Source organism: Homo sapiens, chromosome 9 (genome assembly GCF_000001405.40).
Source record: "Homo sapiens chromosome 9, GRCh38.p14 Primary Assembly".
Lineage (NCBI taxonomy): Eukaryota > Metazoa > Chordata > Mammalia > Primates > Hominidae > Homo > Homo sapiens.
In genome coordinates, this window is record NC_000009.12 from 40,798,963 (window position 1) to 40,816,243 (window position 17,281).

A 17,281-nucleotide genomic window follows, 5' to 3' on the forward strand; every position below is an offset into this window, starting at 1 on the left:
GATGCTGTGCTTGATAAGTTACCATGCTTCTGGTGCTACCTCTTGCAGGCTGAGTTCTATTGGAACCACCAAGTCATGACACCAGAAGGGAAAAGAAGTAGTTCATCATGAGGTGGAAATAGTAAGTATGAGACAAAGGCCAAGCAAGATGAGAGCAAGTGGATAAGTTGAATAGCAGGTAACCCAGATCCTCATGTCACCCACCATGTTTGCACCAGCAACCTTCCTTCAGCTCACACCTGTGCCTGCATTTGTGTCCCTGTGGCCATCTGAAGGAGGGAGAAAGGGGCAATCTCTGTTTAAAGGTGTAGTTGCATTGCAGCCCAATGCAAGAATGACTCTGAAAGACAGAAGGAAATTAAAATATTCCCTATTAGCAGCACTGGGAGCAGTGGCCCTGGCCATCTACTTTACATAGAAGAAGCATGACCTAAGGCAGGAATATAAACAGATTTCTTTGCCGTAGTCAGTGGGTGAATCATCTGGGCAGAGGCTTAGACAGAAAAGAACTGAAATATCTGAGACAAGGAAGCTGGGTTAGAAGCATATGAGTGGACATGCAGGAGCAGGCACGGAGTGTAAAGAATCTTGTATTGCACGTTAACACTCACAAGAAAGCACTCACCACAGAAGAGGCACTCAATAACCAATCAGACAAAATGACTTAACAAGCTGCCAGCCTTGGAGATTGGCTTTCCCACAACAAGAACAACAGTCACACATATGCAATCACTCATATGACCATGTTGGCAGAGTTGGACGATACATATGGGCCCCACAGCCTGGACTTCTATGTATCAAGGTTTATCTAACTACTGCTGCCTCTGACTGTCCTACTTTTCAACAGCATAAATCAATAATGAGACTCTTATATGGCAAGTCTTTTGACCTTGAATGACCACCTTTTCATCCTCAGAGGGATATATCCTTATTCCAGGGCTGGTTTTGGCACTTCTGTTCACAGAGCCTGAGCCAGGACCACTTTTCTGAGGCTTCCAGAATTCCTGATCCACAGGCATAAAATCCCACATGGTATAGCATCTGACCAGGGTTTCTTGTTCACAGCAAAGGATGGGCAGAAGTGGGTCCATGACCATGTAATCTACTATTTGTATTACATACACTCTTCAAGAAGCAGCTAGACTCATGGAGCCCTGGAGAAACACTCTAAAGATGCAACTGATGCACTATGCTAAAGGAGACATTCTGAATGCAGGGGGCACCATCTTTTATACATATTCTATCACAGATCTTTATATAGTAGTTCTTCTTCCATAGGAAGAATCTACAGGTTCAGAAAACAAGAGGTAGAAACAGGAATGTCCCTAATTACAAATGCTCCCAATAATCTTCTCAGGTTTTCCTGTGCTTCTCATCACTGCAGCTCTGGGATCTGGAAGGCAGGCAAGTCCTGCTCTCTAAAGAAGGTTATCTGTTGGGTGCTTTAGATTCCTTAGGTCCAGTAACCAAAGGACAAGAAATACGTCACCACTGGGGCAGGATGAATACACCCTGATTAGCAGGAGGAGGTAGGGATACTTTTCTACAAAAGAAGCAGAGATAATTTCTCTCTCTCTCTCTCTCTCTCACACACACACACACACACACTCACACTCACACACACTCCCCACTCCCTTACTCTCTCTCTCTTTCTCTCCCCCTCACACAACTGGGCATTCAAAGGCAGTTCTGAGACCAACTGCTATAGCATGGGCTAGAGTTGGTCTCATTAACCTTCCTTTTCTAAGATTCCCCTTGGAAAAGAGAGGATCATGGGAATCTTGGAAGAGCTGGTATGAAGAACCTGTTTGGACAAATATGTGTGTGCTGTGGTGGGGTTAGGAGGTGAGGGTAATGGATTTTAATGACCAAGGAAATTTGCAATGCAGATATCCTGAATCAGACAGCATAAGTCAGCGACAGCCTGGCTTTAGCCCTCTGTCTCTGGAAGCACTTCTACACTTGTGCAGCAGTCATGTTTCCAACAGTCATAGAGCTACATGGGGATTGTATGTGAGGACGTTTCCAGTGAGTTGTGAGAGTCTCCAATGAGTAACTTTAATTTAAGGAGTCTGCAGTGACCTAGGCCAAAGCATTCTTGGAACCATGCTGCAGTCTCTTTCTACCCCAACCAGCCTTCCTTCCCTCTTTCCCTCTACAGGTGTAAGATCTGCACCCTAGTCTGAAGACTCTACCCACCTTCTCCTGCTTCCTCCTTCCTCCCTCTTGCAAATTTAATTCCATGGTGGTGTTTGCCCTTAGCAGATCTAAACATTAATTCAAGTCATATGATCAGATATGATGAAAAATGACTAAAAATGTCATTCATGACATGTGAGTGGTGAGCTCTGCCTGGCAGTAGGGAGGAGAGAATTCTGAGAGAAATTAATTTGGAAAAAACGATGCTGCACATCCCAGCAAATACCATCCCATCTTATCTCTGCTAGGAATATTTTTTGTAACATGCATATAATTCACTTTTGCTTTATGAAGTAAATTTATATTTTAAGAATACAGCAGCAATTTGAGTGCTGTTCACAGCTAATGTGAACTGAAATTTGAGGTTGGCTATAGAAGAAGGCCAATGACAGACGGGTTAGTAGAACAAAATGGATATAAATAGGAAAAAGTGAAAAATCAGTAAGACAGTATGTTGGAAAGGAGTACAGTAGATGGAAGAATTAATGATTCAATATTTCTATAAAGAGTCTCCATTTAGATGATTCAAAGAGTATCCATGAAGAAATGCACATTTTATTGAATATACAGAAGTGTGATTAGTGGTGAAGGAGGGTGAATTCTGTTTGTTATATGACTATGACATGTAGAGAACTTCTCATTCAAGGTGAGTGTGAAAAAATATTACAAAACATGTGGAGAATTAACTATTAGAGAGATAATGAAATAATTATACAAAGAAACCTCCTAGAGATGAATTCACCACAGCAAATATGAGAAATATTATAGCAAACTAAATTTTCCTTTTAAGTGAGTACACTTAGAATTCTCAACTGGCTTTTTAAGAAGAAAACATCCAGGGCCAGGCATGGTGGCTCACGCCTGTAATCCCAGCACCTTGGGAGGCTGAGATGGGTAAATCATCTGAGGTCAGGAGTTCAAGACCAGCCTGGCAAACACCATGAAACCCCATCTCTACTAAAAATTCAAAAATTAGCAGGGTACGGTGGTGGGTGCATGTACTCCCAGCTACTCAAGAAGCTGAGGCAGAAGAATTGCTTGACCTCAGGAGGCGGACTTTGTAGTGAGCCAAGATGGCATCACTGTACTCCAACCTGGGCAACAGAGTGAGCCTCTGCCAAAAAAAAAAAAAAAAAAAAAAAAAAAGAATAAAATTCATCAAAAAGAATAGAAGACTTAAAAATAAAAACAGACACCGAATGTGGTGGCTCACTCCTGTAATTCCAGCACTTTGGGAGGACGAGTTGGGTGGATCACGAGGTCAGGAGATGAAGACCATCCTGGCTAACACAGTGAAACCCTCTCTCTACTAAAAATACAAAAAAATTAGCCCAGCATGGTGGCGGGCAACTGTAGTCGCAGCTACTCGGGAGGCTGGGGCAGGAGAATGGCGTGAACCTGGGAGGCAGAGCTGGCAGTGAGCTGAGATCACGCCACTGCACGCCAGCCTGGGCGACAGAGCTAGACTCCATCTCAAAAAAAAAAAAAAAAAAGAAAAGAAAAAATATAAATAAAAACAGGCAAAAGGCCAGGCGTAGTGGCTTACACCTGTAATCCTAACACTTTGGGAGGCCAAGGTGGGTGGATCACCTGAGGTCAGGACTTCAAGACCAACCTGGCCAACATGGTGAAACCATAGCTGGGAATGGTGGCGGGTGCCTGCAATCCCAGCTACTCCAGAGGCTGAGGTAAGAGAATTGATAGAACCCTGGGGGATTGCAGTGAGCAGAGATGATGCCATTGCACTCTGGCCGGGGCAACAGAGTAAGACTCTGGGGAAAAAAAAAAAGCAGGCAAAAAAGAACAAAGTAAAGATTGATATAAAAAATTAAAAGCAGCCAGGCGTGGTGGCTCAGACGTGTAATCCCAGCACTTTGGTAGGCTGAGGCGGGTAGATCATGATATCAGGAGTTCTAGACCAGGCTGACCAACATAATGAAACCCCGTCTCTACTAAAAATTCAAAAATTAGCCGAGTGTGGTGCGCATGCCTGTAATTCCAGCCACTCAGGAGGCTGAAGCAGGAGAGGAGGCTGAGGCAGGAGGAGAGTCACTTGAACCCAGGAGTAGGAGGTTGCAGTGAACTGAGATCATGCCACTGCACTTCAGCCTGGGTGACAGAGCAAGACTCCATCTCAAAAAAGGAAAAAAAAAATAAAAGCTCTAGAAATGAAAATTATATATAAAAAAAAGTGTAAATGCAATAAACACAAAGAATTAGTCAATTGGGAGATAATGATGAATTTATCCAGATAAAAGGATTTAAAAGTCAGAAAGACCAGTCAAGAAAGTCCCCAATACATGTATGATAGGAGTTCCAAAAGGAGTCCAAAGAGAATGGAGAAGCCATATTTAAGGACAGTATTCATCCACTCAGCAAACTCTCACTAAGGGCCCACTTTGATGACGTTTCCATTCTAATGGTAGAGAATACTTATACACAAGAAAACACTGGCAATGCCTTCACTATTTGTATACTTGACATGATGCCATAAAATTTCCATTGCAGAGGAAAGACTTGAGGACTCTAATTTAAAGTATAAAACAAGTGCTGAGCAGAAGAAATAAAAATGAATCCATATCCAGACACATTGATGACTCTGAATTTTAGTGTTTACAAAGCAGTTCTTTAAAATTAATTTTCAGTAAGAGGATGTGTATATCACCTTCACTGTTTTCCTTTTTGTTTTGATCTATTCCTCTTGCTTATTCTAGTTTCAAATGATTTCTTCAAAAAAAGTCTTAAAAGTCTTATCCATTTATGAATCGATTTATATCTTTCATTTTCTAGATTATAATTTTTACTTTTCTGTTATTAATTTCCTTCCATTAGGTATGTTTTTTGATCCTGTATTTACTTACTGACATGAATGATTAACTCATTTATCTTCTCTGGCTTAGTAAAAAAAAAATTGAAAATCTTGAAATTATATATGTTTCTTATTATCTTTCTTAATTATATTGTGTGTAGAGAGGTTTGTTAACTTTTCCAAAAAGTAGATTATTTATTTATAGGTTAGTTGTTTCTTCTTATAGTAATTTCACTTGGAGGATAAATGTTAAAATTTGAAGCACAAAAACTTTTTGTTGACCTTTAAAAAACTATATTTTTATTTGAAAGGTACAGTGTTGGATATTTTTACTAAAATAACATAATTATTTACACACCGTCTTATCTAATTACCCTGTTTTAGTTCCTATGAACCTTATTATAAACCAGCAATATTTCTTCTGGCCTATGTATAAGCTTTTATTTTTATATTTAAATAAAGCTATTTAATGAAAGAAATACCATTGTGTATTTTTAAATTATAGACAGTAGACTTACTCAAATAAAAATGTCTTCTCTCTTCTAGTTGATAAACTTATTTCTGATTCGCATTTCTCTAGTTTATATATCTACAATCACAGCTGTTTCCTATACTAATGTAATCATTTCTGCATACACTGAGGGTGTATTATTTACAATATGACATGTAAAATATTTTAACAAGAGTTATTGTTTTGCAATTGTATAGTTTTTATTATTTCCATTTTTCTTGTTGAAGATGCTTATTCTCTCTTTTTCATAATTTACTATACCTTCATCTTTCTTCCTTTCTTTCTTTCCTTCTTTCTTTCTTTCTTTCCTTTCTTTCTTTCCTTCTTTCTTTCTTTTCTTTCTTTCTTTCTCTCTCTCTTTCTTTCTTTCTTTCTTTCTTTCTTTCTTTCTTTCTTTCTTTCTTTTTTTCTTTCTTTTTTTGAGACAGAGTCTCCCTCTGTCGCCCAGGCTGGAGTGCCGTGGTGCGATCTCGGCTCACTGCAAGCTCTGCCTCCCGGGTTCACACCATTCTCCTGCCTCAGCTTCCTGAGTAGCTGGGACTACAGGCATCCGCCACCATGCCCCGCTAATTTTTTGCATCTTCAGTAGAGACGGGGTTTCACTGTGTTAGCCAGGATGGTCTCCATCCCCTGACCGCGTGATCTGCCCGCCTTGGCCTCCCAAAGTGCTGGGATCACGGGCATGAGCCACCGCGCCCAGCCTTTTTTTTTTTTTTTAGACAGTTTTTGCTCTGTTGCCCCAGGTTGCAGTCCAGCAGTGAGATCTAGCCTCACTTCAACCTCCGCCTCCAGGTTCAAGCGATTTTCCTGCCTCAGCCTCCCGAGTAGTTGGGATTACAGGCGCCCACCACCATGCACAGCTAATTTTTGTATTTTTAGTAGAGACGACGTTTCGCCATGTTGGCTAGGCTTGTCTCGAAATCCTGACCTCAGGTGATCCACCCAGCTCGGCCTCCCAAAGTACTGGAATTACAGGCGCGAGCCACCGTGCCCAGCCCAGTCCTTGTATTTTTAAGGTTTCATTTGTGTATTTTCTTTAGGAAAATATTTCAATAATTTATCCCTGCAACTAGCTGAAGTTATAAAATTACTTCTGGATTTGGGAAGATTATACCTGAGTATGGCAAAGGATTAGAAATAATAGCTAGCAGCTGGGTGCAGTGGCTCACGCCTGTAATCCCAGCACCTTGGGAAGCCAAGGCGGGCAGATCAGAAGGTCAAGAGACATAGACCATTTTGGCCAAAATGGTGAAACCCCATCTCTACTTAAAAAATAAAATTTAAAAAAAAATTAGCTTGGTGTGGTGGTGCGTGCCTGTAATCCTGGCTACTCAGGAGGCTGAGACAAGAGAATCGCTTGAACTCGGGAGGCAGAGGTTGCAATGAGCCAAGGTTGCGCCACTGCACTGTAGGCTGGAGACACAGCAAGACTCCGTCTTAAATAAATAAATAAATAAATAAATAATAGCTAACTTCTTCTATCTGCCAGGCACTGTGCTAAATACTTTGCATGAAGATGATAATTTCAAAACTAAACACAGAAGAGCAAGTGTAAAAGAAGTAATTTCTTTCTTTCTTTTCTTTTCTTTTTTTTTTATTTTTTGTTTGAGACAGTCTCTCTCTGTGGTCCAAGCTGGAGTGCAGTGGCGGGATCTCGGCTCACTTCAACCTCTACCTCCCGAGTTCAAGCAAATCTCCTGCCTCAGCCTCATGAGTAGCTGGGATTACAGGCATCCACCACCAGAGACGGCTAATTTTTTCTTTGTATACTTTTATTTAATTCGGCTTAGGTTACTTGTTTATTAGTAGTAGTTTTGCATCTATGGGATTGTTGTATAAAATAAATGGTTTAAATATGTAGAATACTTAAAAGTCATTCTTTCTGCATTTGAGATTTTGAGCCTTTAAAGAGGGCAATATACGGGTAGAGACACAACCAAAAAAGAGAATTTTAGGCCAATATCCTTGATGAACATTAATGCAAAAATCCTCAATAAAATACTGGCAAAACGAATCCAGCAGCACATCAAAAAGCTTATCCACCATGATCAAGTGGGTTTCATCCCTGGGATGCAAGGCTGGTTCAATATATGCAAATCAATAAATGTAATCCAGCATATAAACAGAACCAAAGACAAAAACCACATGATTATCTCAATAGATGCAGAAAAGGACTTTGACAAAATTCAACAACCCTTCATGCTAAAAACTCTCAATAAATTAGGTATTCATGGGACGTATTTCAAAATAATAAGAGCTATCTATGACAAACCCACAGCCAATATCATACTGAATGGGCAAAAACTGGAAGCATTCCCTTTGAAAACTGGCACAAGACAGGGATGCCCTCTCTCACCACTCCTATTCAACATAGTGATGGAAATTCTGGCCAGGGCAATTAGGCAGGAGAAGGAAATAAAGGGTATTCAATTAGGAAAAGAGGAAGTCAAATTGTCCCTGTTTGCAGATGACATGATTGTATATCTAGAAAATCACATTGTCTCAGTCCAAAATCTCCTTAAGCTGATAAGCAACTTCAGCAAAGTCTCAGGATACAAAATCAATGTACAAAAATCACAAGCATTCTTATACAACAACAACAGACAAACAGAGAGCCAAATCATGAGTGAACTCCCATTCACAATTGCTTCAAAGAGAATAAAATACCTAGGAATCCAACTTACAAGGGATGTGAAGGACCTCTTCAAGGAGAACTACAAACCACTGCTCAAAGAAATAAAAGAGGATACAAACAAATGGAAGAACATTCCATGCTCATGGGTAGGAAGAATCAATATCGTGAAAATGGCCATACTGCCCATGGTAATTTATAGATTCAATGCCATCCCCATCAAGCTACCAATGACTTTCTTCACAGAATTGGAAAAAACTACTTTAAAGTTCATATGGAACCAAAAAAGAACCCGCATCTCCAAGTCAATCCTAAGCCAAAAGAACAAACCTGGAGGCATCACACTACCTGACTTCAAACTATACTACAAGGCTACAGTAACCAAAACAGCATGGTACTGGTACCAAAACAGAGATATAGATCAATGGAACAGCACAGAGCCCTCATAAATAACGCTACATATCTACAACTATCTGATCTTTGACAAACCTGAGAAAAACAAGCAATGGGGAAAGGATTCCCTATTTAATAAATGGTGCTGGGAAAACTGGCAAGCCATATGTAGAAAGCTGAAACTGGATCCCTTCCTTACACCTTATACAAAAATCAATTCAAGATGGATTAAAGAGTTAAACGTTAGACCTAAAACCATAAAAACCCTAGAAGAAAACCTAGACATTACCATTCAGGACATAGGCATGGGCAAGGACTTCATGTCTAAAACACCAAAAGCAATGGCAAGCAAAGCCAAAATTGACAAATGGGATCTAATTAAACTCAACAGCTTCTGCACAGCAAAAGAAACTACCATCAGAGCGAACAGGCAACCAACATAATGGGAGAAAATTTTCGCAACCTACTCATCTGACAAAAGGCTAATATCCAGAATCTACAATGAACTCAAACAAATTTACAAGAAAAAAACAAACAACGCCATCAAAAAGTGGGCAAAGGACATGAACAGACACTTCTCAAAAGAAGACATTTATGCAGCCAAAAAACACATGAAACAATGGTCACCATCACTGGCCATCAGAGAAATGCAAATCAAAACCACAATGAGATACCATCTCACACCAGTTAGAATGGCAATCATTAAAAAGTCAGGAAACAACAGGTGCTGGAGAGGATGTGGAGAAATAGGAACACTTTTACACTGTTGGTGGGACTGTAAACTAGTTCAACCATTGTGGAAGTCAGTGTGGCGATTCCTCAGGGATCTAGAACTAGAAATACCATTTGACCCAGCCATCCCATTACTGGCTATATACCCAAAGGACTATAAATCATGCTGCTATAAAGACACATGCACATGTATGTTTATTGCGGCATTATTCACAATAGCAAAGACATGGAACCAACCCAAACGTCCAACAATGATAGACTGGGTTAAGAAAATGTGGCACATATACACCATGGAATACTATGCAGCCATAAGAAATGATGAGTTCATGTCCTTTGTAGGAACATGGATGAAATTGGAAATCATCATTCTCAGTAAACTATCGCAAGAACAAAAAACCAAACACTGCATATTCTCACTCACAGGTGGGAATTGAACAATGAGAACACATGGACACAGGAAGGGGAACATCACACTCAGTGGACGGTTGTGGGGTGGGGGGAGGGGGGAGGGACAGCACTGGGAGATATTCCTAATGCTAGATGACGAATTAGTGGGTGCAGTGCACCAGCATGGCACATGTATACATATGTAACTAACCTGCACATTGTGTACATGTACCCTAAAACTTAAAGTATAATAATAATAATAATAATAAAATAAAGTACATCACCAAAAGAATACATAAAGAGGGCATTATAAAATGCCTCATGGAAAAAATATTATTTTAACAATTATTAAGGTAAAATAAAAATTTGTGACTCATAAAGACACACTTCATTTTTATCCTCTATTTTTTTTTTACAAATGGGACTTGAATACTTTAAGATAAAATTTAAAAAATCAAGTAATTTTAATCGGAAATTTCAAAAAAATAAAACCCTGAATCCAATTCAAATTTCACTTACTTGAAAATTCTCACTGATATAAATTTATTTATATAAATGTGATATAACCAATAAAGATATGCAATAGAGTCATTGTTAATTTGGTTAAAAAATTTTTAAAAACAATGCAAACTTGTATTACCTCCATATGTGTGTATGTACACATGTACACATATATGAATATTCATATATATATTTGCATACACACACCATATATATAACTGTGTATAAATGAATAACAATGGAATGTCAGTTGGCCTCTACTACAACATTTGAAGGCCCATTGCACAATGGCCAGAACAGAGACGACATCGGAATGCAACTTAAAATTTCCAAGATGACTTGAATTGTATCTGAATTTCTAACAGGGCATAGAGAAATTAAAATATTGTTTGATTATGCTTCTTTGTTTATTACTGGGAGAGCCTCACATGCAAAGCAGATCAGGATATTCTCTTATCAAATGTGTTAATTAACAGTCAGTTCATAATGTAAGGGTGACTCAAATAGCAGATTCAATATCAAACAGGAAGGGCTTTTGTAGCCCGTTCTATTTTCGTTCAACCACAAACCACCCACCCCTGCTGAAATAAAAACTTAAAAGGCAGGTGGAGGAAAATATGTTCTAGACCAAGGGGTAGGTACTGGGTCTGCAAAAGACATAGTGTGCCACCCACAAACACACAAGTTCAAGGAGCGAGGCTCAATCCTTCAGAAAATTGGTTCTAACTTTCAAATCATTAGAGATATTCTTTATAAAAGATATAGCAAAAAAAACACAAAATATACCCCTCTAAGATTATTAGGAAGTTAAAAAAAAAGTGACTTGTAACTTTTAATAAATAACTAGGGAGGTAAGCTTGTTCATTTCTGAGATTCACAACTTTTATAAAGGCGTTGTATTAATACTTGAATTGTGCTATGTTCAATAGAAGCAATGAGACATAAGCCATACTGAGAGAAGAAAAAAATTTTACAACAAGAAAATCTAATGCTGTTTAATTTCTTTAAATATTTATTAATTTCTGAATGTTATGTGATTGCTTTCATATTAATTTTTCAGTAGAGAAATTGAATACAATTGAATACAATTTCTCAGTCGAGAAATTAAATACAATGGATTTTAGTGTGATGACATACTTGATGGGATAATTGTAAAATCATTATTTTAATTAGTTATAATACTTTTAGGTAGAAAAATAAAAATAAAGGAAAACTGATTTTCTTTAAATTCCATCAATTATTTCTTTCTCACAATAATTAATATGTAATTTACCAATGATGTAGTAGATTAATACCAAATTCTCTTACTTTTGGTTTCATCAAAAAATGATGAGCATTTTTCTCTGATTGATGTTTAGTTACTTTCAGATGGCTTGTAATCTTGTACTTTCAACATTGAAGATTTTTTTTTCACATATTGATACCAATCATTTTATGATATATCTGATTTTATAATTATGTATTCATTGTTTTCAAATGAGAGTTATGGTTGTATACAGTAAGAGTTATAATAGAGGAAGTTATCCGGTGCTCCAGGAATTTAAATAAGAGAAGATATAAAGATCTCAGCCTTTGTGTGAATATTTTAATTGGATCCTGAAAAATGAATGAAGATAGACAGAAAACAAGTAAAAAATGGTGTAAGCAGATGGAATAGAAGGAGTAAAAGGAGAGTAATAGAAAAGTGTGTGTGCCTTTGAAGGAACATAACCTGTTCTGGGTGTGGCTACAGCACAGTTTTGTGAAGGAAAATGTTAAATGATTGAGGAGAATGTCTCTCAATATCAGTGATTTTGTATTTTACCCTTCAATGATGGGACATAAGTAAACAATTTTTGAAAGCATAGTGGGTGTGTGTGTATATAAATATATAGCATATATATATAGTATATAGCATGTCTATACTTATACTGTATACATACATATAGTGTGTATGTATATATGTATATATAGTATATATACATACTTATTTTCATTCTAGATAGAAATTTTTGAGATGCAGTTAGAAGAAAAAGTCAGAAAGAATAGTCAAGATTATTCCAGCAGTACAGGCATGATGTGATGAATGACTACATTAAAACATCAGCAGCAACACAGAAGAGAAATGGCAGAATAGAAAGGTAATTCAAGGTAGAAACAGCTGAACTTAATAATTCATTTAGAAGGAAGAGTCAAGGTATATATACTCTAAATTTTCTTGGCGACTGGCTTGATATTATCATCATTAGCTGAGATGGGCAATGCTTTAAAAGAAATAGATTTATTTGCCAAAATATAAAATGTGTTTATGGCTATGTCAAATTTGAGATGCAGGTGGTGAAGACGGGGGGGAGAATCAGTTGACATTTTAAAATATAGGTTTGAAACCTACAGGAAAATATTGGAGTAAAAAAAAATAAAGAAAATCAAACGTCAAAGGAAATGCTGGAAGTGTGGGAATGGATAAAAGGAGCACAGGAAAAGTGTGCAGAGCATTGTTACCCAAAGTGCTGTGGGAATTTTATACACATATGAATACAACTCGCAAAACACACAAATATTTTTCTTCCCTGGATCATTTACTGGAGTCTTTTACATACACATTCTGAAGTATAAGGTATGCAGAATTTTCTAAGCGTATCATAGAAATCCATTCCAAGAATACATTTCAGGAAAACTATTGTCAATCAGGGAAACATTGGTGCAGAATAGTAAGAAAAGAAATACCCATTAAGACTAGTACTTACACAGTGGACATGAAAAAACTAGACAGCAAGGAGTTATTAAAAAGAAAGCACGGGCTGGGCATTGTGGCTCATGCCTGTAATGCCAGCACTTTGGGAGGCCGAGGCAGGCGGATCACCTGAGGTTGGGAGTTTGAGACCAGCCTGACCAACATGAAGAAACCCCATCTCTACTAAAAATACAAAAATTAAATGGGCATGGTGTTGGGCGCCTGTAATCCTAGCTACTTGGGAGGCTGAGACAGGAGAATCGCTTGAACCCGGGAGGTGGAGGTCGCAGTGAGCCGAGATGATGCCACTGCACTCCAGCCTGGGTGACAGAGCAAGAGAAAGAAAAGAGAAAAGAAAAGAGAAGAGAAGAAAGAAAAGAAGGACGGAAGGGATTTTAAAAAGAGATGAGAAGTCAGTATACTGTTTTGGAGGAAGTGTAATTTATGATTTTGGCTATAACTTGCTATGAATGGAAACAGCAACACACCACTGGATTTCAACTTTTGAGTGCTTAAGAAGGTGGAGATGGTGATTAAAATAATAATAATAATAATAATGCTAAGTGTGTAATAGTTGCTAAGTGTGTGGTGTCTGAACCCAGGATATCAGGATGTCTGGAACTAGGATTGAATCCCAGCTCTTCCACTTTCTGGTTATGTGAGTGACTGTAAGCAAATTACTTAATCTTTTAATGTTCCAGTTTCCCATATGTAAAATGAGAATTATAATAGTAAACTACTTCATGGCTTGTGAGGATGAAGTGCATGTAGAGTACTTAGTGAGTTCTCTTTGCGTATTATGTATTAGTTTCAAAATGCAGATTCTAGAGCCCTTAGATTCTCATTCAATAGGTATGAGGCAAGCACGGGCCAGGATTCTGCATTCTTTAAGGAGGTGTAATTTCCTATATCTGCTGTGACAAACTGGTTCACATTAGGTCGCTTAAAATGAGATAAAGTTATTCTTTTATGGTTCAGGAAGCTAGAAATCTTAAATGAAGGAGTGAGCAGTGCTGCAATTTTCTCGGAAGGACCTGGGAAAAAATCCTTTCTTGCTTCTTCTAGCACCGGGTGATCACTGAGCTTCATTGTCATTGCTTGGCTGGAGGATACCTCACTTTATTCTCTACCTCCATCCTCACATGGCCATCTCCTCCCTGCGTCTCTGTTTCCTCTTCCCTTCTTATGAGGATATCAACCATATTGAATTATGGCCTACTCTAATGCATTATGAGCTCATCTAGCATATCATAATTATACAGCATCTGCAAATAATTTGATTTCAAATTAAGTCATACTCACAGACATCAGGGGCTAGAACTCTAATATATATATTTTCTTTTTGAAGACACAATCTAACCCACAAAAGGAGGGGAGCCGCTTAAGATCATAAATAACTCAAATAACAAGACTGTGTGTTTAAAATAGCATTTAAATTTCTCCAAATGGCAGACAGCTTAATTCAGATCAATACCAATCAGGAGATAAAGAAGTGTTTGTCTCCTGATTGGCATTTACCTGAGATTAAAACATTATGGTAAAATACATTATCTTCAGTGATCTTTGGTTTAGGTGAGTATTCACAAGGCATACAGTTATTATCACTTGAGCCATCTCTCTCTAATAACTCTTTTCTAATCTGCTGGCCAACAATATCAGGTTCTTTCAAATCTCTGATTATTGGACCAAACAATAAGGTCCTCCATGTGAATTGGTAGAAATATTTTTTACAAAGGTAAATGAAATTTTATTTACTTGATGGATTTCTCTTCTCCTTTGTACAAAGGGGTGACCCTTTGACAGCACAGGGAAAGAACGTGATAGAAATAGACTTTCAGAAGGAAGGGCCTTCCATAACAAGGAATGCCATCTGTAATCCAGACTTTTTTCTCCTCAGGAATCCAGTCATAGGCAAATCTCTATGAATCACAGATAAATAGAAAGAAGGGTGGGAGTGTGTCAGGAGTAGGATGTTGAAAATGTGAGTAGCCTGTTCATTAATTGGTCCCTTGGAAACTGAGAAGGCAACGTGGCATACATGCAATTTCCATGGAATGATGGAAGACTGGTTGTAGTTACTATGATCCTATAATGCTCAGATCACAACGGGGTCACCCTTATTCATGACTGAGCATTCCTTCTTATTAGTATCCCAATGTGAAATTGTTTCTCAAAAAAGGAGGGGGCGGGTAATTTTTGTACAAAAGGCTTTTACTCCAAAATAAAGTGGCTTGTACTGTATTTCTCCTCTGGAGCCTTGCCGCTGGCTCCATAGGAAAATTCTGCCTCACATAGATACCTGAGGCATTGGATTCCCTAAACAAAATTGTAGATCCACTTGTACTGCAGGCCTCTGTAGTCCAAAACGTTTCTCTTTCTCTGAGTCCCACTCACAGCTGACATCCTTCTTGACATTTGCATTTTATTTAGAATACACATCCAAATATGTTTTATGTTGCCTCTAACATTCAAAAGAGCCTCTAACAGTCTTCCTTTCCCTATCCCTTCCTTCCATTTGAAAGATGTTTTCTCCACATCACTTTCTACTGCATTCTTAGACTCCCTGAAGGTAGGAAACCCACATTTTTGTCATTGGCTCGATGTGTCTTTCCTGAAGTCTATGGTAGCTGCTATTTTTCTCTAGAGCATATCAACCGGATGCTGTCCATGTATTCCATAAGTTATGTCCGTTTGGCTAGTGACATGGCCAGGGTTCCTGAGTACAAAATTGTGACACAGACAAAAATAGTTATACTTCTACAGCTAAATAGTGAAGACACTCTGCCTGGAAAAAGTAAGAAATTTCAGGTATTTACCATTTATTTAAGATACAGAAAAATAATTTGCCTAAATGTATAGCAGGAAAAGGAGATAAGTGTATTCACTAAAGCAAGGAGACTACATCTGGATTTTAAATGTGTGCCCTCAGATAGGACTCCAGTACACAGTGGCTGGATTCTGAGTGTTTGTCCCTCACACAGGATTACAGAACACTGCTACGAGTTTCTGAATGGAAAAGGAAATATCTTCACATAAAGACAAGAAAGAAGCATTCTGAGAAACTTCTTTGTGATGTGTGCATTCACCTCACAGAGTTGAACTTTTCTTTTGATTTAGCACTTTTGAAATACTCTTTTTGTAGTGTCTGCAAGTGGATATTTGGAGCGATTTACAGCCTATGGTGGAAAAGTAAATATCTTCACATAAAAACCAGACAGAAGAATTCTGAGAAACTTCTTTGTGATGTGTCCATTTATTTCACAGGGTTGAACCTTTCTTTTGATTGAGCAGTTTAGAAACACTCTTTTTGGAGAATCTGCAAGTGGACATTGGTGCGCTTTGAGGCCTATGGTGGAAAAGGAAATATCTTCACATAAAATCTAGACAGAAGCAATCTGAGAAACTTCTTTCTGATGTTTGCGTTCATCTCACATGTTTAACCCTTTCTTTTGATTGAGCAGTTTTGAAACTCTCTTTTTGTAGAATCTGTAAGTGGACATTTGCAGCGCTTTGAGGCCTATGGTGGAAAATGAAATATCTTCACATAAAAACTAGACAGAAGATTTCTGAGAAACTCCTTGTGATGCGTGCTTTCATCTCACAGAGTTGAACCTTTCTTTTGATTGAGCAGTTTGCAAAACAAGCTTTTTGTACAATCTGCAAGTGGACATATGGAGCGCTTCGTGGCCTATGGTAGAAAAGGAAATAACTTCACATAAAATCTAGACAGAAGAAATCTGAGAAACTTCTTTGTGATGTGTACATTCATCTCACAGAGTTAAACCTTTCTACTGATTGAGGAATTTTGAAACTCTCTTCTTGTAGAATCTGCAAGTGGACATTTGGAGGAATTTGACGCCTATGTTGGAAAAGGAAATATCTTCACAAAAAAAAAACGAGATAGAAGCATTCTCAGAAACTTCTTTGTGATGCTTGCATTCATGTCCCAGAGTTGAAACTTTCTTTGGTGGACAAGTTTTGAAATACTCTTTTTGTAGAATCTGCAAGTGGACATTTCGAGTGCCTTGAGGCCTATGGTGGAAAATGAAATATCTTCACATAAAAACCAGACAGAAGAATTCTGAGAAACTTCTTTGTGATGTGTGTGTTCATCTCACAGAGTTGAACCTTTCTTCTAATTGAGCAGTTTGGAAACACTCTTTTTGTAGAATCTTCAAGTGGACATTTGGAGTGCTTTGCAGCCTATGGTAGAAAAGGAAATATCTTTACATAATATCTAGACAGAAGCAATCTGAGAAACATCTTTGTGATGTGTGCATTCATCTCACAGAGTAAAACATTCCTTTTAATGGAGCAATTTTGAGTCTCCCTTTTTGTACAAACTGCAAGTGGACATTTGGAGCGCTTTGAGGCCTGTGGTGGAAAAGGAAATATCTTCACATA

The 17,281-nt window shown here is 38.1% G+C and overlaps 1 annotated feature.

The window, feature by feature from the left end:
* Window positions 16,065-16,566: an enhancer, noted in NCBI's record as "NANOG hESC enhancer chr9:66768055-66768556 (GRCh37/hg19 assembly coordinates)". NCBI's record gives its function as "activates a minimal SCP1, AML or CMV promoter by ChIP-STARR-seq in primed H9 embryonic stem cells {active_cell/tissue: H9 hESC(primed)}" and the evidence as "EXISTENCE:reporter gene assay evidence [ECO:0000049][PMID:30033119]".